This window comes from Homo sapiens, chromosome 5, assembly GCF_000001405.40.
Source record: "Homo sapiens chromosome 5, GRCh38.p14 Primary Assembly".
Taxonomy (NCBI): domain Eukaryota; kingdom Metazoa; phylum Chordata; class Mammalia; order Primates; family Hominidae; genus Homo; species Homo sapiens.
The window spans coordinates 178,975,696-178,995,412 of NC_000005.10; the positions used below are offsets into that span (position 1 = coordinate 178,975,696).

At 54.8% G+C, this 19,717-nt stretch overlaps 2 protein-coding genes across 2 annotated transcripts in view, besides 1 other annotated feature; one reads left to right on the plus strand and one right to left on the minus strand.

Annotated features, from left to right (window-relative positions):
- Positions 1 to 14,333, plus strand: part of ZNF454 (zinc finger protein 454) — a 48,831-nt gene extending 34,498 nt beyond the window's left edge. Inside the window, exon 6 of the transcript XR_007058600.1 lies at positions 14,052 to 14,333. The gene's annotated coding sequence lies outside the window, so the exon portion shown is untranslated. The remainder of the gene's footprint in view (positions 1 to 14,051) is intronic.
- Positions 2,632 to 19,625, minus strand: GRM6 (glutamate metabotropic receptor 6). Its single transcript, NM_000843.4, has 11 exons — positions 19,581 to 19,625; positions 18,746 to 19,265; positions 16,172 to 16,388; positions 15,729 to 15,864; positions 14,897 to 15,051; positions 13,570 to 13,710; positions 13,240 to 13,440; positions 11,143 to 11,288; positions 10,435 to 11,058; positions 7,215 to 7,526; positions 2,632 to 6,159 (listed from the first exon to the last, which is right to left on the minus strand). Exons 2-11 carry the CDS (start codon positions 19,247 to 19,249, stop codon positions 5,962 to 5,964), a joined length of 2,634 nt encoding a protein of 877 aa, NP_000834.2. The 5' UTR covers positions 19,250 to 19,265; positions 19,581 to 19,625; the 3' UTR covers positions 2,632 to 5,961.
- Positions 7,030 to 7,199: an enhancer, noted in NCBI's record as "experimental_83773 CRE fragment used in MPRA reporter constructs". NCBI's record gives its function as "activates a minimal promoter by MPRAs in K562 erythroleukemia cells, with activity observed for both the introgressed and non-introgressed 5:178409811 variant alleles {active_cell/tissue: K562}" and the evidence as "EXISTENCE:reporter gene assay evidence [ECO:0000049][PMID:34662402]".

Below are 19,717 nucleotides of genomic sequence, written 5' to 3' on the forward strand. Positions count from 1 at the left end.
GCCTCAGGTGACGGTTAGCTTGATGTGTCACCTGGCCAGGCTATGGTACTCAGTTACTTAATCAAACACTGATCTAGATGTTGCTGTGAAGGTGTGTTTTGTAGATGTGGGTAACCTCTACAATCAGCTGACTTTAGGTAAAGGAGATTTACCCCCAATCATCTGGGTGGGCCTCTTCCAATCAGTTGAAGGCCTTCGGAGCAAAACTCTCTCTCTATATCTTTATCTAATCTATATCTACATCTAATCTGTTGATCCTTTGGGCTCTGTTCTCTGGAGAGCCCTGACTGCTCCACTCTGCTGCCTTCCTCACATTTTCTCCCCTGCTCACCCTACTCCTCCATGCCACTCTCTTTGCTTGGTCCCCAAAACACCAGGCCGACCCCTGCCCTTGGGCCTTGCACTTGCCACTCCGCCTGCAGGACCCCATCCCCCAGATATCCCCATGGCTCACTCCCCACCTCCTTCAGATGAAGCCTGTACTGGATTGCCCTATTCAAAATTGCAGCCATCCCCCGCCAGCTGCCCCATTCTCTGTACCCTGCTCTGCTGTTTTCTTTTGTCCACAGCACATCACCCTTTAACATACAGTGTCATTTATTGGTTAGTTTTGTATGTTGTTTATTGTGTGTCTCCACCACTAGGGTGCAAGTCCTATGAGGGAAGCAGTTCCTGTCTATTTTGTCTGCTGATGTATCCCAGGTGCTTAGCACAGAGTAAGCACCCAAGGGTACCTGTGGGACCAAAATGAATAAGCAGTCTGTGGGGGGCAGTGAGGAGGGGCTAGCTGGGAGTGAGATGGGGTCCTGGGACTGCTCAGCTGTGGGGCTGGGTTAATGAGTGGGGTCTGTGTGGGCAGTGATTGGTAGGACTGGGAGGATCAATGGTAGGCTAATGGGGCCAGCAATTTGGGCACCTCTGCAGGGTGCATTAAGGAGACTCTGGCTTTTAGTGACTGTGGGAGGAATGAGTATCTTGCCCAAGGTCACTCATCTAGCAGAGCTGGAGTTGACCTCAAGAAGACTTAACCATGACACAGTGCAAGGTCAAGCTGTGAAAGCTGACTTAAAGAAGTACACAGGGCATGGGCAAGACAAGGTCTGTGTGCCCTGGAAGTTTTACCTGTCTTACCTGTCTGCAGACCAGAATGGGAAAAATAACTCAGATGTTGATACTACAGGTATATTCAGTATTTGAGAGCTCTGATCAGACCCAATCTGGCAGATTGTATCAGTGCACAGTGCCTGGGGCCGTGTTCCCCTAGACTAATGTGCCCTCTCTGCTGTTTCTGTTAGGAGAGTCTGCAGGTAAATTTGAGAATAAACCACAGCCAGATGGAGGTGACAGGAGATGGCTGGGACCCTAGCAATGGGACACAGCACCACGGTGCCATGGAACGGTGATTTTTATAATACTATGTAGGATGAATAAGAGGGAAAAGATACAAGAAGCAGAAAGACTAGTTAGTATTCTGACAGAATAATTGCTATAGGTTGAATATTCATGTTGCTCCAAAATGCATATGGTGAGATCCTAACCCCCATTGTATGGTATTTGGAGCTGGGGCCTTTGGGAGGTTATGAAAGTAGAGCCCTCGGGAATGGGATTAGAGCCCTTATAAAAGAGACCCCAGGGTGCCCTCACACTTCCCACCATATGAGGACACAGCAAGGGAGTGCTGTTTAAGAACAAGCAGGCAGCCCTCACCAAATCCACTGGTGTCTTGCTCTTGGACTTTCCAGCCTCCAGAACTATGAGAAATGTCTGTTTTTTAGAAGCCACTGAGTCTATGGTACTCTTTTATAGCAGCCTGAATAGAGTAAAACAGTAATCCACAAATGAAGTGATGAGGCTTAAAATTTTCAAATTCAGTCTTCTTTTTTTTTTTTTTGGAGACAGAGTTTTTCTTTGTTGCCCAGGCTGGAGTGCAATGGCACGATCTCAACTCACAGAAACCTCCGCCTCCCGGGTTCAAGCGATTCTCCAGCCTCAGCCCCCCGAGTAACTGGGATTGCAGACATGTGCCACCATGCCCAGCTAATTTTGTGTTTTTAGTAGAGATGGTGTTTTGCCGAGATGGTGTTTCGCCATGTTGGCCAGGCTGGTCTTGAACTCCTGGCCTCAAGTGATCCACTCACCTCAGCCTCCCAAAGTGCCAAGATTACAGGCATGAGCCACTGCACTCAGCCAGATCCAGTCCTTTTACTAATTTACTTCTCTACACCCTTGCGTGCCTTTTAGAATTCTATCCAACTGGTCAGTTTCTTCTTATCAGAGCCTTATTCCTTCTTGGTTCCTATCCCTTACATTTCTTCAGCCTTTTCTCCACAGGGTGGAATGTCATTTTTGAAACCCCCCAAGCTACTTGTAATAAGCATCAGTATTCCACTCTGGCTGTCCATACTACAGCAGTTTTTCCCCTGTCAAAGCCCAAGAGATAGAAAATATTTAGTTTGGAATTTTTCACGTTTAGAAACAAAGGTATCAATATAACAAAGAGTATTTGTGAAGCAGTTTCATTCTATAAAATGATGAGAAGATTCACTTGGAATTGTGCATTTTATTCCATTTTTGAAGAAGTTTTATGAAACAATATCTGTATAAAGAAGCAACCGAAGACCTAAGTCAAACTTTTGGGAAAAGTTAAATTTATTGAACAGGAAGTAACTGAATAAAGTCAGTTACCTGGACTCTTTACAGTAAGCAATGAATGTAATAAATTAAAGGGAAATTTCTAAAGAGCAAAAAGGATAAGAAATGGGACAAAGCTATAATAAATGTGTCAGAAGATTCACACAAGTGAGACAGCCTAAGAAAATGGTTACTATACAGAAGCTCTTCTGTAGAAGTCTCAACACAGTGGACCACAGGTGAGACCTTATAAATAGGTGGTTAAAGCTTACATCAGAACGTAATCTTACTCTGCTTTAGAGCTCTCATCCCAGAGAGGAACACTGCAATTTTAATTGTGTAAACATGGAATAAGCCTCCAACCCAGAACTCCATTTTCACTGGAACATATAATTCATACAAATAATTCAAGGGCAACAAATGGGACAAAACCTTCGGTGCAGGTCAGCTCTCACTCGACATAAGAGAAACCACACTGGAAGAATGCCTTATAAATTCCACACATAGAAGAAAACCCACAAAACTTTATTCAGGGGTCCAAATAAATTGGACCTCAAAGAATTCAAACCCATGCATGCAAAAAAACAGGAAAATCTTTAGGGAGCTGTCAACCTCCACTGAACACCACAGAAATGATCAAAGAGGCTAGGTGCGATGGCTCACGTTTGTAATCCGAACACTTTGGGAGGTGGAGGCAGGAGGATCGCTCGAGCTCAGAAGTTCGAGACCAGCCTGGGCAACATAGTGAGACCTCGTCTCTACAAAAAATAAAACATTAGCTGGGTATGGTCGTGCGCACCAGCTACTCAGGAGGCTGAAGCGGGAGGATTGCTTGAGCCCAGGTCGAAACTTCAGTGAGCTATGATCGTGCCACTGCACTCCAGCCTAAGAAATTGAGCAAGACCCTATCTCGAAAAAATAAAATAATAACATAAAGAAATGATCACAGGCAGAAACTGTATGCACACACCGAGTGTGGAAAAGCCCTCTTGTGGAAGTCAGTTATTTGTGTACATCAGAAAATTCTGGAAGGAGAGAAACCTTGTGAAGGTACTAAATATGACAACATCTTCAGTAACAGAGGATGTCCCCCTGTACCCAGAATGGTGCATGCTGTGGAGATACCCTGCAAGTAGACCGAATGTGAGAAAGCCACAGGAGTACATGGGCCTCGCGGTGCATCAGAGTTCCTGCCAGAGAGGCCCACAGGCATGAACATGGCAGAGTGTGAAAGTCGTCTGCGGGAAGCCAGGACTCTATGCCAGAAACTTCACACTGGGGAGAAATCCTCAGTGCAATCAGTGTAGAAATGCCTCTACTAAGAACTGCTTCTGATTCTGAATCACAGAGTTCACAGTGGAGAAAACCACATGAATGTAAAACTGTGGAAAAGTTTTCAGCTAGAAGCCAGAGCGCACTGCACACCAAAGAATTCACACTGGGAGAGACATGAGAAAACAGCAAATGCAGGAAAACTTTCCCTTGGAGATCAGAGCTCACTGATCTCAGAGTTCATACAGGAGAAGAGCCCTATACAATCACGAGGGTGGAACCGCCTTTGGCAAGAAAACACGCCCCATTACCCATGAGAGAGCTGCACAGGAGAGAAACCCTATGGAATAAATAATTCTGGAAAGCATTCAGCAACAAATGAAACGTCCTAATGTGCACTATAGAGAAGCCCTAGGAACACAACAAATGTGGAGAAGGAGAGTCAGTAGCGCAACAGAAATGTTTCTCAGAGGAGAAGCTTTTAAGTTAATTACTTAAAACCTGCAGAAGCACCTAGTCCCACGGTCAAAACCAACTGCGCACCAGAGAAGCTGCATGGGAAAGTTTGTATGTTGGATAAAGTGTGGTTCACCCTCAAAACTAGCTCCAGACATCACAGACTAGAGAATGTATACTGATCTTAAACAGTGGTCAATTTAACAAATGTAAATTCTACTCCCAGGGACATAAAACTCCATAACTTAAACCAAGCTTTTTGTAAAAACTATCAGTGAAAAACAAATGTGCGTGCATCTGCAGCCCAAGCCTCTTCCTCCCCAGGCCTGGCGCTCAGCTTGCAAATGGACTTCCCAGTACCTATGAGGAATGAAGGGTTTCCATACCCGTCCTGAGCCATCCACTTGGGATTCACCCTCACCACGGCCATGACTCTCTGTCACTGCTCCCAACCTGGAGCTCCTAAACCCATCCCCAACCCGAACACAACACAAATGCACCCCTGCTCCTTGTTCTCACATCACTAACATTACACACGTGTATCTGAATTTCTTCAGGTTTGGGGGTTTTTTTGGTGTTTTTTTGTTTTGTTTTTTTGAGACAGAGTCTCGCTCTGTCACCCAGGCTGGAGTACAGTGGCACAATCACAGCTCACTGCAACCTCCACCTCCCAGGTTCAAGCGATTCTCCTGCCTCAGCCTCCCAAGTAACTGGGATTACAGGCACCCACCATCACACCTGGCTAATTTTTGTATTTTTAGTAGAGACAGGGTTTCACCACATTGGCCAGGCTGGTCTCGAACTCCGGACCTCAGGTGATCCACCTGCCTCGGCCTCCCAAAGTGCTGGGATTACAGGTGTGAGCCACCATGCCTGGCCAAGGTTGGGGTGATTTAAGGGAGTACACAGAGGGGAGGAAAACAGCTGTACTCTAAGTCTGACCTTGCCCAATCCCGGGGGGATGGGGGAAAGCCCATGGCATTGGGAATCTCATGGGGGCGCACCCCAGTTCCTCAGCTCACTCCCGCGCCCACTGCAGGCCCTTCCCATGCTCACAGGGGTCTCACCCAGGGTCTCTCCCTCCGTGCCAGAGGAATCCTACCCAGGCCTGAGTGCCTCCATCCAGATGCACAGCCCCAGGTCTCCTCTTGCTGAGACAGCTCCTCCTCCACTCCAACCCCATGTTTCATTCTGGGGTCTACACGTTCTTCCACACTGCCCAATCCCCAGGTTATGGGGGTTGACTGAGGGGAGGAAATCTCCCGCAAACCAGGCAAAGCCCAGGGCTTCATCATCCTCTTTGGACTTCGGATGAGAGAATAAGTTTAGTCCCTTTCTAGAGCTAGAACCTTCTCGGTGGCTGTTTCCCACCATGGGAAGCGAGTCTGGTCTGTGGTGAGGAAGCATGAAGCTCACATGCTGGAATCGGGGTAGAGCTGGGTCCAGTTCCTTCTCAAGGCCAGCCCCACCGACGCGGAGCATGGTCTTGGCAAACTCCCTGCCACTGACTGTTCACCGTGGACCCGGGCTCTATACAGCTTCCACCTCGAGGCAAGAGGAAGAAAGGAGAGGCAGCAAGCAGTCCCGTTCCCACCTGCCCTGCTACTTGTGGGCCTCTGCATCCTCGCCCTTGGGTGGGGCTGCCACCGTGGAGGTGGCCTTGAGGCTCCGCTTTCGCTTCTGCACATTCTGCTCTGGATGGAAGAGGATGACGTAGGTTTTGGGTACGTAGAGCATGCCGAGGGACACCGAGGCACTCAGGCTCAAGGACACGGTTAGCGTGGTTGTCTGGATGTAGATCTAGGCCATGGAAGAGGGGACCAGATGGGACTCAGCCCTGCTCTCCCTGCCCCGCTCCACACAGTCCTCACCACATACTCTGGAGCTGAGTCTGTTTCAGTTGGGGAACTGGGAATGAGCACTTAGACCAGGACAACAGTATGAGCAGGGGCCCCGCGCCTGAGGGGCTGGCAGCCTCCATGCAGCTCTGGTGTGGGCAGGAGGGAGGGGTGAGGAGGGGTTATTAACAGAGAGACACCTGGGGAAGCGGGAGCCGGGGCATGTCAGTGAATGAGCACGTTTCAAATACATACAAATGAATAAATGGGCAGAGACAAACTTCAGGAGCAGATGGGCAAATAAATGGATGACAGGTGCATAAAATATTCTGCCGCATACGTGAATAAATGATGCAGCAATGGGCTGACGCATTAATGGGTTGGCAGTTATAAAGCACATGAAGCCTGGGCGCAGTGGCTCACGCCTGTCATCCCAGCACTTTGGGAGGCCGAGGCAGATGGGTCACTTGAGGTCAAGAATTTGAGACCAGTCTGACTAATATGGTGAAACCCCATCTCTACTAAAATTACAAAAATTGCCCAGGCGTGGTGGCAGGCACCTGTAGTCCCAGCTACGGGGGAGGCTGAGGCTGGAGAATCACTTGACCCAGGAGGCGGAGCTTGCAGTGAGCCAAGATCACGCCACTGCACTCCAGCCTGGGCAACAGAGTGAGACTCTGTCTCAAAAAAAAAAAAAAAAAAAAAAAAAAAAGCATATGAAGAACTTGAATTAAAAAAAACAAGCTAACTGTAACTGGGTGACAGAGTGAGGCAATATCTCTCAAAGAAATGAAAATGATAAAAAAAAAAAAGAAAAAAAGAAGAGTGGAAGTTAAGAAGAGGGGTTAGAAGCTTGGAAAAGTGAATGAATGAACAAAGTAAGAAGGGAATGAGTGAATGAACAAGCAGCCAGATACGGGATAAACAAAAGCACGAACAAGCATTTAATCTCATGAATGAATCGACCAGCCTGACAGGCAGGAAACAGGCAGCGAGACCTCCTGGGGACCTCATTACCTTTTCAGCTGACTGGGCAGTGCCAAAGAAGATGGGCACGAATGCCAGCCAGATGATGCAGGTGGTGTACATGGTGAAGCCGATGGGCTTGGCCTCGTTGAAGGTCTCGGGCACGCCACGGGCCTTGATGGCGTACACTGTGCACGTGACCATGAGCAGGAGGCTGTAGCCCAGGCAGCCGATGAGAGACAGATCCGACATGTCGCACTTGAGCACCCCTCTGGCCTGCTCGGGGTCCACCGTCCGCTGTTCCTCATAGTCAATCACGCTGTGTGGGGGCCGGGCCCCCAGCCATGCTATCATCCCCACCACCTGCAGGAGCCAACACTGCATCAGACACAGCACTTTCCAGGGACAAATCCATTCCAGCCCTGACAGAGGCCCCTGCGGGTCAGGATCCCCTTGAGGCTCTGGCCTATGGAGGGGATGCTCCACCTCTTCGTGGTGGCTCTCAGGAGCACTCAGTGGAGAAGAGGGGATGGCAGCCCAGGCAGGGGCAGCCCAAGAGGGGTCCGTCCAAAGGCCCGTGACCTGGCAGCTGCGGAGAAGGGCTGTGCCGCCCGTATATGTTGGCAACATCAGTGCAGTGTGCATAAGGGGCAGCTTGGTGTCCTCTTCCTGCATTCTAGCCATTACCAATGCCATTTACTGCGCCCCTTCAAGGTAGATGGATGTGGCCGGAAGCTCTGGAACTGAGGCCCTACTCGCATCGCCTCTCTAGCCTCCTCACGTGTACTGAGCTTCAAAATCAGGGCACGCCACAGGCAAGAGAAACAAAGGAGCACTCAGTGGGGAGGAGCAGGAATGGGAGCTGATGCCGAGGAGTACTGGAGTCTGTGCAGGCCCTCACAGGGAGGAGATGGAGTTACCACTCCCTCACATGACAGGAAGCACAACCTCAAGCCAAGGAAAGCTGGGGAACAGGAACGAAGCCACCTGCATAAAGGCGGGACCCTGGAAGGGCTGCCCCACACGTTCGTGCTGGTTGTTCACTGTACGAGAGCGCCTGATTGGGGGCAGGGGTGGAGCTGGAATCCAGCCTGCATGCCAGTGCCATGCCGAGCACCTGGAGCAGGGCCATGTGATCCTGCTGGAAGGGATGCTTTGCAGTCATCTGCCCACCCAGAAGCAGCAGCTTTTTGTGCTTCTCCCAAAGGCAGCAGACCCCTGAACAAAGGACCTTCCAAATAAGTGGATCACGAGGTCAGGAGATCGAGACCAACTTCCAAAATAAGTTTGGAAGTTCCTACTAGAACAAGGCTCCAGGTGGAAAAAAAAAAAGTTGCTCATGAGAAACAAAAATGCAAGCCCAGGGCTGCACAGCGGTAACCACCAAAACGGCCCACAGATGCCGCAGCCCGTGGAGTGGGGAGCGAGCGAGCACGCCTCACTCGGAACGGACTCCTGCAAAATAACAGCAAATGAGCAAAGGACAGGAACAGGCTGAGCCCAGGAGAGGAAAGCCCCATGGCCGGCGCACTGGTGCTAAGTGCAGGCGAATTGAAGCCACAGTGAGATGCCATTTTGCAGCCCGTCATGACGTGGTAGTCATGGCAAAACACCTAGGCCAGTTGCAGGCTTGTGTGTTTTTAAAGATCCCTTGTATCTGGAAAAGAGGGTACAGTGTGGGGCGGGCAGTGGCTGAGGCTGGGGAGGAGAGCTGGGGGTCCCCAACGGGGTCTAAGCATCTCCACCTGAGGGTGGGGGAGCAGGAGCACCTCAGGCCGGGACGTAGAGGGCACCTTCTCAGGATGTGCGGCACACGGAGACCCTGGGCCTGACCAGGGGACACTCAGGCCCTGTTACGTGGAGGAAGACGGGAGCACCTCCTAGTCACGGAGAACTGCATGACCCGAGGCACGTGGCGTGTGTGGAACGAATAGAGAAGGGGCTCGCCGGGAGTGGACAGCACCGGGAGTGCTCCAAACGGGTGAGCAGGTGTTCGCACTGAGGCCACCCTCCACCTGGCCCTGAGAACCCAGCTGGCCCTGCAGTGTCACACCAGGTCACCCTCCCCAAGCCATCTGTCTCTCGTACTCTTCACACAGAAAACATCCAGGGCGCCCCAGACTCCAAGAGTTGTCTCCAAGGCTGTAATAACTTTACTGTCTTAGGAAAATCCCCCAAAGGAGCTCCATTATTTAACGGCCAGCACGAAACGCTGGCCACTGGATGGAATTCGATGCTCTTCCACAGTAAAATGTTGGACCCTGTGCCTCTCATCCACACTGCCCCAGGGAGCAGGGCAGCAGAGACTCCCTTGTGGAAACAGGAAAACCGGTCAGATAGCTCTTTGACCTGTTTCCATATGTGAGCCAAATTGTAGAAGAGCATTTTGGTTTAGAAAATAACTTCACTGTTGTACAGAAAGATCTCTGGAGGCCCACACTCCCCACCTGACTGCCCCGTTTTCCTTCAAGGACCCAGCAGGGGAGATGGCGGCCCTAACTGAGCTGCTGTCACAGGAGGGGAGGGGCTCCATTTCCTGTGGCCTTAAAAAAAAAAAAAAACTCACTGGGCGCAGCGGCTCCCGCCTGTCATCCCAGCACTTTGGGAGGCCGAGGTGGGCGGATCACGAGGTCAGGAGATCGAGACCATCCTGGCTAACACGGTGAAGCCCTGTCTCTACTAAAAATACAAAAAATTAGCCGGGCGTGGTGGCGGGCGCCTGTAGTCCCAGCTACTCGGGAGGCTGAGGCAGGAGAATGGCGTGAACCCGGAAGGCAGAGCTTGCAGGGAGCTGAGATAGTGCCACTGCACTCCAGCCTGGGCGACACAGCGAGACTCTGTCTAAAAAAAAAAAAACAAAACAACACAGGAACCAAAATAGAAAAGAGTGACTCTAAAAACGGCATTTATCTTTTTGTTTTGAGACAGGGTCTTACTCTGACACCCAAGCTGGATTGTAGTGGTGCGATCTTGGCTCACAGCAACCTTCAACTCTTGGGCTCAAGCGATCCTCCTATTTCAGCCTCCCAAGTAGCTAGGACTACAGGCACGCACCACCATGCCTGGCTAATTTTCATATTTTTTGCAGAGACAGGGTCATGCCATGTTGCCCAGGCTGGTCTCGAACTCCTGGACTCAGGTGATCCACCCACCTCAGCCTCCAAAGGTGCTGGGACTACAGGCGTGTGCCACTGTGCCTGGCCCTTTTGGCTTTGTAACGTTGCGGACAGTCCCCCTCCCTGCCCTGGCCCTTGGGAGCCTACGGACCCACCTGCAGGGAGGTGAGGCTGAAGGTGATGACCAGCTGTGAGGTGGGGCTGATGAAGGGAGGGGGTGTGACCGAGCGCTTGCCCTGCTCAAAGATGCGGTAGATACGGTTGGTCTTGGTGAGCAGGGCAGAGTAGCTGAGGGTCGTGCCCAGGCCCAGGAAGAGCCTGCGGGCGGCACAGACCGCGGCCCCAGGCTCAGCCACCATGAGGAAGGTGATGGCGTAGATGAGGAAGATGCCGGTGAGGAGGACGTAGCTGAGCTCTCGGCCCGAGGCCCGGACGATGGGCGTGTTGTTGTACCGCACGAAGGTGGCCACCACCGTGGTAGTGGCCACGATGCCCAGCACGGCCAGGAGGAGCGGCGGGGCTGCCCAGGGGGAGGACCAGCTCAGGCGCACCACAGGTGTGGGGCGGCAGCCCGTGTGGTTGGGCGTGGGCCTCATGTCCCCAGGACAGGCCTCGCATGTGAACTCGTCCACCTGGAAGCGGTACCCGTCACAGGCCTCGCAGTGCCAACAGCAGGGGACGCCCTTCACCATCTTCTTCCGCTCCCCCGGCCCGCAGGGCAGGCTGCACAGAGACGAGGGCACCTCGTGGGGGTCGCCAGACCACTGCAGGGCCTCCACCTGGGACGCACAAAACACAGGCTGGGGCGTCTGCCTCCGGGATCCTGGGCCCATGCCCACCTGGGGCTCGGTCTGCACACTCACATCCAGTCTGAGGGTCTCTGCCCACTGGCCCACTGCCTGGTACCCGCCACTGCTGGCACTGCCATTGGTCGCCTGGTACTGGAAGATGTCGTACCGCCCGGGCGCATCTCCGTTCTCGTTGAACATCACAGGGGTTCCTGCGCTGCCTGGAGAGAGAGTCCGTCATCCTCGGTGGTCCTCCAGCCCAGCAGAGCTGGCCTCCTGGGGAGGCCCCAGGGACCAGCAGGAGAAAGGAGGAGCTTAACAAGCATCACTGCTCATAAGGGACGTGCAAATCCAAGCCGCAGGGAGATCCCCCTTCACCCATTGGGATGGCTTCTAGCCAAGAACCAGAAAATAACGAGTGTTGTGAGCGTGTGGAGAAGTCGGAACCCTTGTGCACGGTGGGTGGGAAAAGGCTGCAGCCGCTGCAGAAAACAGTGTGGAGCCTCCTCAAAAGATTAAACACATGACCCAGCAGTTCCACTCCCGGGTAGATACTCGAGAGACTAGAAAGCAGGGTGGCAAGAAATGCTTGTACAGCCACGTTCACAGCAGCGTTATTCACATAGCCACAAGATGAAAGCAACCCGAGCGTCCACTGACAGAAGAATGGACGAACACGACGGGGCCATTCACACAATGGGATGCGATTCAGCCTTCAAAAGGAAGGCAGTTCTGACCCATGCTATAAAATGGATGGACCTGGAGGACATGATGCTCGGTGAAACAAGCCAGTCACACATGCGCAAATACCGTCTGATGCCACCACAGGAGGTACCGAGGGTAGACAATTCATAGAGAGGGGCCGTGGAATGGCGGTTGCAGGTGCTGGCGGGAGGAGGGGATGGGGAAGTGTTTAATGCATACAGAGTTATGGTTTCATAGATGAAGAGTTCTGGGGATAGATGGTGGTGATGGTTGCATAACATTGTGAATTTATTATTTATTTATTTATTTAGAGACAGAGTCTCACTGTGTCGCCCAGGCTGGAGTGCAGTGGCACAATCCCAGCTCACTGCAACCTCTGCCTCCCGGGTTCAAGCAATTCTCCTGTCTCAGACTCCCGAGTAGCTGGGATTATAGGCACCCGTCGCCATGCCCAGCTAATTTTTGTATTTTTAGTAGAGATGGGGTTTCACCATGTTGGCCAGGCTGGTCTCGAACTCCTGACCTCAAGTGATCCACCTGTCTCGGCCTCCCAAAGTGCTCAGATTACAGGAGTGAGCCATTGCGCCCAGACTGAATGTATTTAATATCACTGAACTCTACACTTAAAAAATGGTTAAGGTGATACATTTTATATTATATGTATTTTATCACAATTAAAAATGAAAAAAGTTTCACTGTCCAGGCGAGAGGATGAGTTCAGACACGGAGAGAGGTCTGAGTGACAGTATGAAATTGGAATGACTTGAACAATGAGCTCTATTTTTCTTACAAGCTTGTTCCACCAGCTTGCAGAGATGCTCTGGAGTCATATTAAATGGAATTGATTAGCAGAGAGCATGGCGGAGAGAAGGTGGTGAGTGAGTGTTCAGTGGAAGAGCGGAGTTTTGAATTGTGTAAAGGATAGTGATTGAACAGAAAGTCATCTCTCCACAAACCGTGGACAGAGCTTGAGTCCACTGGGGTCTCCTCAGAAGACACAGTTTTGAGCCCTGACCACACACCAAGCCTGGTGCCAAGGGACAGGTCAGACCCACGCCTGTGCCTGGCGCATGACTCAGAGTGGGCGGCATGTCCCTGGGTAGGCGCCCCACGCAGTCTTAACTGTGCCCCACGTGCACCCCCAGGGTCCAGATGCCCTCAAGCTCTGCGCAGTGGAGGGGAGTGTGGTGTGACCCACTGGGGGTTCCTGGCAGAAGGGATCAGAGAAGCTCCCCAGCATCTGAACTGTGCAAACCAGCGCAGGGAACACTGAAGCCTGGGGAGGGAGCAGTGTTAAAAATTGGGGACCGGAACTTGTCTCATGTCTTTGGCACTCAGCCCCAGGCACCCCCATTAGACCACTCAGCCTCACCCAGCCCTTCCACCCTGAGGTTGTCCCAGGCCTCACAGCAAAATCCAGCCCCCCAGCTGTCCTTCACTGCTGCAGGGGGGCAGGCACCCACTCACCATTGAAGCGGACAGCTCGAATGTACTGCAGAAGCATCCGCCCATCAGTGGGTTCCATCGCCGGGCACAGGCCTGTGTGCCCAGGGCAGAGCGCCTGGTGCATGCTGTGGAGGGCGTGGGCAATGGCGTACACCGCATCAATCACAAACTGCACCTTGCCCTCCTGCTCGTAGGTGGAGTCCCGGCCGATGCGTTCCTCGCCTGTCCTAGGGATGCCCAGAGAAAGTGTGCCCGGCCCCCATGCACCGAACCCGGCCTCCCGCCTTCCCCCTCCCCACCCTCACCACCCTCCCCACCCTCCCCACCCTCACCACCCTGGGCAGCTCTCACCTGTGCATTTGCGGGTGGAATCGTCTGACTGGGTACCTGAGCTGGTCAGTTTGCAGTTAAAATTCTCTTCCCAGAACTCGGCGAACCAGATGTTCCTGCGGTTGTTCTCCAGGGATCGAGTCATGAAGTACTGGTCAAATCCTACAGACAGGGAAGAAGGGGGAGGGTGGCGCTGACCTGAGCCAGCTGTGTTTCTCCTGTGTCTCTCTGCCACTTGCTCACTTTCAGCTAGGAGTGGCCAGGTGAGCTAGGAGTGGCCAGGTGAACTAGGCATGGCCAGGTGAGCTAGGAGTGGCCAGGTGAGTTAGGCGTGGCCAGGTGAGCTAGGAGTGGCCAGGTGAGCTAGGCGTGGCCAGGTGACCAAGTTCTGATTGGTGGACTCAGAGCCAACTGGAGGTTCCAGGGTAGCACTTACATGCTGATGCAAACTCAGAGCCTCACCATTTGAAAGACTTTTATCCCTGCTCCTTCTTTCCTGTTAGGATGCTGCTGTGAAGATGTAATGGGTGGAGCCTCAGCAGCCATCTTGTGACTATGAGACCATAAGCAGGAAGACCCAAGGCAACCACAGGGAATGGTGGAACAAAGGAATGGACAGAGCCCAGGGCTTTGAGAGCGCATTCACTCACTGCCCCATGCCTAAAGTCACCAACTCTCAGACCTCCTGTCTTGTGATGAGATGCCTTTATCGCTAAAACTACTCTCAGTCCAGGCTGCCACCTGCACCCAGATGCAACGTAGCTGAAATAAAAGGCGTGATGGTATATATCCCCCTAAGGCTAAGAGGCCCTAGCAGCCAGGGCTCAGCCTTTCCAGGGTCTGTGTTTCATAAAATAGCCCTGAAGGATGTCATCAAGGTGTCCTCGGTCCAGCCTTGGGGAAAATGAGCAATCCTATTGTAAAGTGAGCCATCTGTTCCTGCTGGATTCATCCAGATCCACAGGTAGGACTGGGGGTGCAGGGGCCTCATCACTCTGATCACCAGGATGGTATATTCCGTATCCTTGGTTTCTCTCCCTCCCACCCTCACCCTCAGATTAGAATGTCTTTGGCAGCACTAGAAATACAGGCACTAAATTAAGAAACAAAACCAAAAACCCAACAATTCCTCCCCGTCCAGTGAGTGGAGCGTGCTTTCCTCGCACGCCATCCCAGTCAAGCGCTGCTTGGAGGGACGCGTCCACAGATGATCGGACTCATAGGATCTGGGGATCTGAGAAGGGATCTGGATTATGGCACCAATTACACAGATGCAGAAAATGAGCATCCCCAAGAGGGGGTGCTGGGGAGACGTGTGGGGTGGGGGATGGAGTGCCCCTGGACTCACCGTCGATGGAGGCCCTTTTGGGCAGGATGGTGATGGCCCCAACGGCCACGTCCTCCAGGCTCAAGATGGGTGAGGTCTTGGCTCCCCAGCTGTCTGAGCCGACCCACAGGAAGTGGCCGGTCAGGTTGGCCTGGCGAGCTGCCTCCAGGACCCGCCTGGTAGGAGCAGGGCTGGGGTGAGGGAGGGCCTGGGAGCCTCCTCCAGCTCGGCCCCCATCCCTTCCCACTCTATCCATCTCCCCTGCTCTATAATCACTCACCAGATCCTTGTTTCTCAGGAAAAACGGGGCCGGGGGCATTTAGGGCACCTTCCCTGGGCTTTCCTCTGACCCTAGGCCTGCCCACTTGCTCTGCCCACTGTAACCCACTGTTCAGGGGGTTCAGAGGGACTCCTTGGGGGAAAATCCAGTTCGAAGCCAGCCCCTCCCCACATGCCTCCACCAGCGTCACACCCAGCCTCCTAGGCTGGAGATGAACTCGGGCCGGTGGGTCTCGGGCTGGGGTCCGCAGCCTCTGTATGGACCCTGGGCTCCTTCCCTCACAGCTCATTTTCTGCACTAGGTTCTGCCCACAGGTCCCTCCCCGCACCCCCAGGAGCTGTAAACACAGACACATGTTCTGTGCGCTATTCAGTCTGGGCTTGTGGCATCTCCCCAGACCAGGCTGCTTCTGAGCCTGGGCACCAGACTCAGAGGCAGCAGCAGGGAAGGTGGGGGGTGCGGGGAGCAGGGGAAAGGGAGGCAGGGAGAGTGTGTAAGGTGGCGATGTGCAAGAGGAGGGGTGGGACCCTCAGGGAGAGCCCCAGGGGCCCGGTGATTGTGCCACTGTCCCACCTGATGTCATCCTCATTGGCAAAGATGATGATGCCCCGGGCGTTGGGCGTCTCCATGAGTCTCCTGATCACCTTGCTGAACTCTCCTGGCTTTGGTTCCCTGGGAATCTTGATAGACTGGGCAATACAGACCCCCCCTGGGCGTTGGGGGTGCCAGAGTCAGCTTCCGTCCCACCCACCCACACACCCACCTGGCCACCGCTGCAGAGGACTGTGTAGGCTGGCTGAAGGGTCTGCAGGGGTGAAGTCTGGCCTGCACCCTCCGCCAAGCCTGAGGCAGGGCTGAGTCGTCCAAAACAAAGAGGTCCCGCCCACATGGAGCACCAGCCAGGCAACCTCGGCCCAGCATGGACCTGGGCCCCCCATCTTTCTGCTTCTGCCCCAACTGAGGGCCCCGGGCCCACACTATGTAGACTCCTTGGTGCCTCGGAGCCCCCAGCTCACCAGCCTCTCGGGAGATCTGAACGAAGGCCTCAACCCCACTTTCGCCATAGTTGCCCTCGGAGGCCAGCGTGGACACATAGTTCCATCCCAGTGCCCTCACGATGTCCACCATGGCCTGCGCCTGGTAGGAGTCGGGTGGCACCACCCGGGAGAAGAAGTCATAGCGTGTGGAGTCGCTGAGCTCCGGGGCTGTGGAGGCATAGCTGATCTGGGGTATCTGTGGGGCAGGAAGGACAGCTGGGCTGTGGATGGAGGTCAGTAACTCAAGAGAGGGAGGGTAAGGGGGGCCCAGGACACGGACGGGGCACAGAAGGTGTGTGGCATGGACCTGGGACACAGATGGGAGATGGAAGGGTTGGGGTGGGGACCTGGGGCCAGCTGGAGCAGCCACCTGGAAAGGCTGGAAGCTGTGGTGTTTTGCGAGTGGGCCTGAGAATTCCGTGAATGCTGTGCAGGTGGGAGGTATGCAGGGCTGGGGAGAGGGCAGGACCGCCACATATACTGGTACAAGCTGTGTCCTGAACAAGGACCCCCAGCAGAGGGCCTGCAGCCCATCCAGCTGCATCTGCCTGTCCTAGTCAGGCCCAGGGCAAAGCACGTTTTCTTGATTCACACCAAGGGGTGGTCCGCAGGGACAGGCAGCCCTAGGAGGGATTAGGGCAGACAGGGGAGCAGCAGGGGATGTTCCATTTAAAGCTGTGTCTGGCCTAGGATGGGGATTGTTGGAAACTGGGTTTCTCTGCATGCATTAGAGTGATTAACAGCAGAGACCAGAGGCTGAACTGACCGGGGAGTGTGGAGGCAGAGACACGGGGCTGAGAAGGCCGCCAAGAGGGGGCTATGGGGCTCCAGCGCAAGAGGGGCTATAGCAGGAGCTGGTGTGAAGGCCAGAGAGGGGGAGTTTCTGGAAGGAGGGAGGGGGGCTGGTCCAGGGTTGTTTGAAGCAGGATAGAAAGTATAGAGACAGCATGAAAAGGAAGCCGGGAGTGGCAGGGAGAGAGAAAGAAAGAGGGAAGGTGGGGCTGGAGAGAAACAAGAAGGAGAGAGGGAGAGAGAGAGAGAGAAACAACTGAGGAGACCGAGAGACGAGAAAGGCCCAGTGGCCACAGCTCAGTGAATAATGCTGTGGTCCTCCCAGCTCTCCTGGACACTTGAGTTTGGGAACAACCCTCCCATGCCCCCTGGACCTCCTGAGGGAAGTTAATTTAAAATGCCTGCCAGCACGGTCATGTGGCTGGGAAATGAATGTAGTTCTTTTAGACCAGGAATTGCAGCATCTTGCCTGTGGCTGTGTTTTGCACAGTTTTTATTAATGTTTGCATTTCTAGCCGGGCAGCACAACCTCAATCTGGGCTGAGCTGGCAGCAGCGGGCCCTGGGCTCACAGAGTCCTGCCCACCTGAGTCCCCAACTGGGCCCCTGAAGGCCTTGGGGTCTGGAATCTCTGCATTCGACCTAGAGGACAGAGACAGAAACTAGAGCTCTAGGCAGGGCCGGGGACACATACAGGTGGGTGAAAAACCCCTGGGCGGCCGCACAGCCTGTCTGGTGCCAGCGTGGAGATGTCACATCAACACTGCCAATCCGAGGAAACAGGGATGGGGGCTTTCATGTGCGCAGACGATAGGGAGCGGCCCCGCACGCCTGGAACAAACACAGACGCTGCGCCCGGGAGTCGGAGAAGCTCTCAGGAAACAGAAGTTCCTCTCCTAGGTAGATGGAAGCCAGGCCTTCCTCCTTCACAGAGAGCCGGATGCACACAGGCCCCTCCCGCCACAGAACCCCAGAAAAACTGTCCCACAACCCCCAGTGAATGACCAAATCGAAAACCCCCAAACTTGTATGCCAAAGCCCTCCTAATCCCGATTCTGCTGGCCCCTAGGACTGCAAGGAACACGCTGCCCCTCACGGGACAGTTCCCTACATTTGAGGACAGAGCAGGGCCAGCCCGGGCACCTGCGCAGGGCAGGGTGCAGGAGACCAGAGCTCAGAAGGGAACGCCCCGCCCTGCTCTCAGATGCCCCTTGAGGGAGAGTTCAAGGCATTTTGAAAATAAATTTAAATGATCAAAAAAGAGAAAGACCAGACCTTTCAGGCCTATCCATCCCCCATAGCAGCCCAGGGACACGCCCCAGTTGCTGCTCTGGAAGAAGGGCCCGGGTTCCAAACAAAACTCAAAGTTGCAATATCACTCGAGCGCTCCGCAGGCCCAGGGGGCAGGAGCACCTTGTATGGTTGCAGGGGTGTGCCCAGAACAAGGGCACCCGAGCAGGCTGGCAAATGGGGGCTGAAGTCAGGCCGCCCTCCCCAGCCAACCGGCCAGAGGCGTAGGTGGCACCCGCCCGGGAAGGGGCGCCCTCGCGGGGCGGGGTAGACATGGGCGGCTGGAGTGTTTGGGTGGAGCCGATTCAGGCCTGCGTCGGGCTCAACTGACAGGGCTTCTTTGACGCTGTGTGAATTCGAGTGATTAAAACGGAGACTCTTTCAGAAGAAGTAAAGGAAGGAGACTTGGGCCACCCCAGGGCGAGGACGGGAGAGGGACGCTGGACACCGAGCCCGGCCCCGCGGCCCTCACCGCAAACAGGCGCAGCACGTTGGCGACCATGATGGAGACGGAGCTGGCCGAGGCGCCCACGACGGCCACGACGCGCTCGGGGGGCGCGGGGCGCAGCGGAGGGACGCCTCCCGGGCAGCGCACGCCCACCTCGTCGCCGTCGCCGCGGCCGCGGATCAGCGCCTGCACGAAGCTCAGCGCCTGCTCCAGCGCGTAGGTGTCCCGCGAGCAGGTGTCCAGCAGCCGCGCGCCCAGGCGCACGCCGGGCAGCAGCTCGGGGTCGGCGTTGACGCGGTCCAGCGCGTACAGCATGGCCTCCAGCCGGTGCACGCCCTGCTCCTTCTTCAGCTGCCCGCACGCCCGGCCCGCCGCGCCCCGCGCGTGCACCGGGAACAGGCCGCCCAGCGTCAGGCCGCCCGCCAGGCGCACAGAGCCCGCCGCGCGCGCCAGGCCCGCCTGCGCCAGCCACGCCAGCGGCAGCAGCGCCACGAGCAGCGGCTCCCGGGCTCTCCGGGGCCGCGCCATCGGCTCGTCTAGCGGGCTGCGGGGAGACAGAGGGGCGGGGAGCGCTCTGAGGGCGGGGGAAGGAGAGCGCGGGCTCGGGGCGCGGGGAGGGACACCGGGGTCCTGGGGAGAAGGCGCTCGGGGCGCGCCTTCCACTTCGGCTCTGGGGAGTTAGCTCAGCCGGCCTGCCCGGGCCTCCGTCTCGCTCTTACAAGCGCCGAACCCTGTCGCCCGGGGTCCCGCCCGACCACTGCCTCCACCCCTCCAGCCCTGCCGCTTCCCGACAGCTTGGCCCCTCTTCCTCGGGGTCCATCCCCAGCGCACACCCAGGCTCCCGCCCCAAGCCAGTCACCTGCGCCAGCCGCTGTCGGTTCAGGACAAGTCTGTGACAGATGCGGCCGAGGCCCTGAGCGAGAGAGGATTTAAGGATTCTAGGGAGGGATGAGAGACCGCTCCGAGGGTGGAGACCCCTCCTGAGTGTGGGGGGTG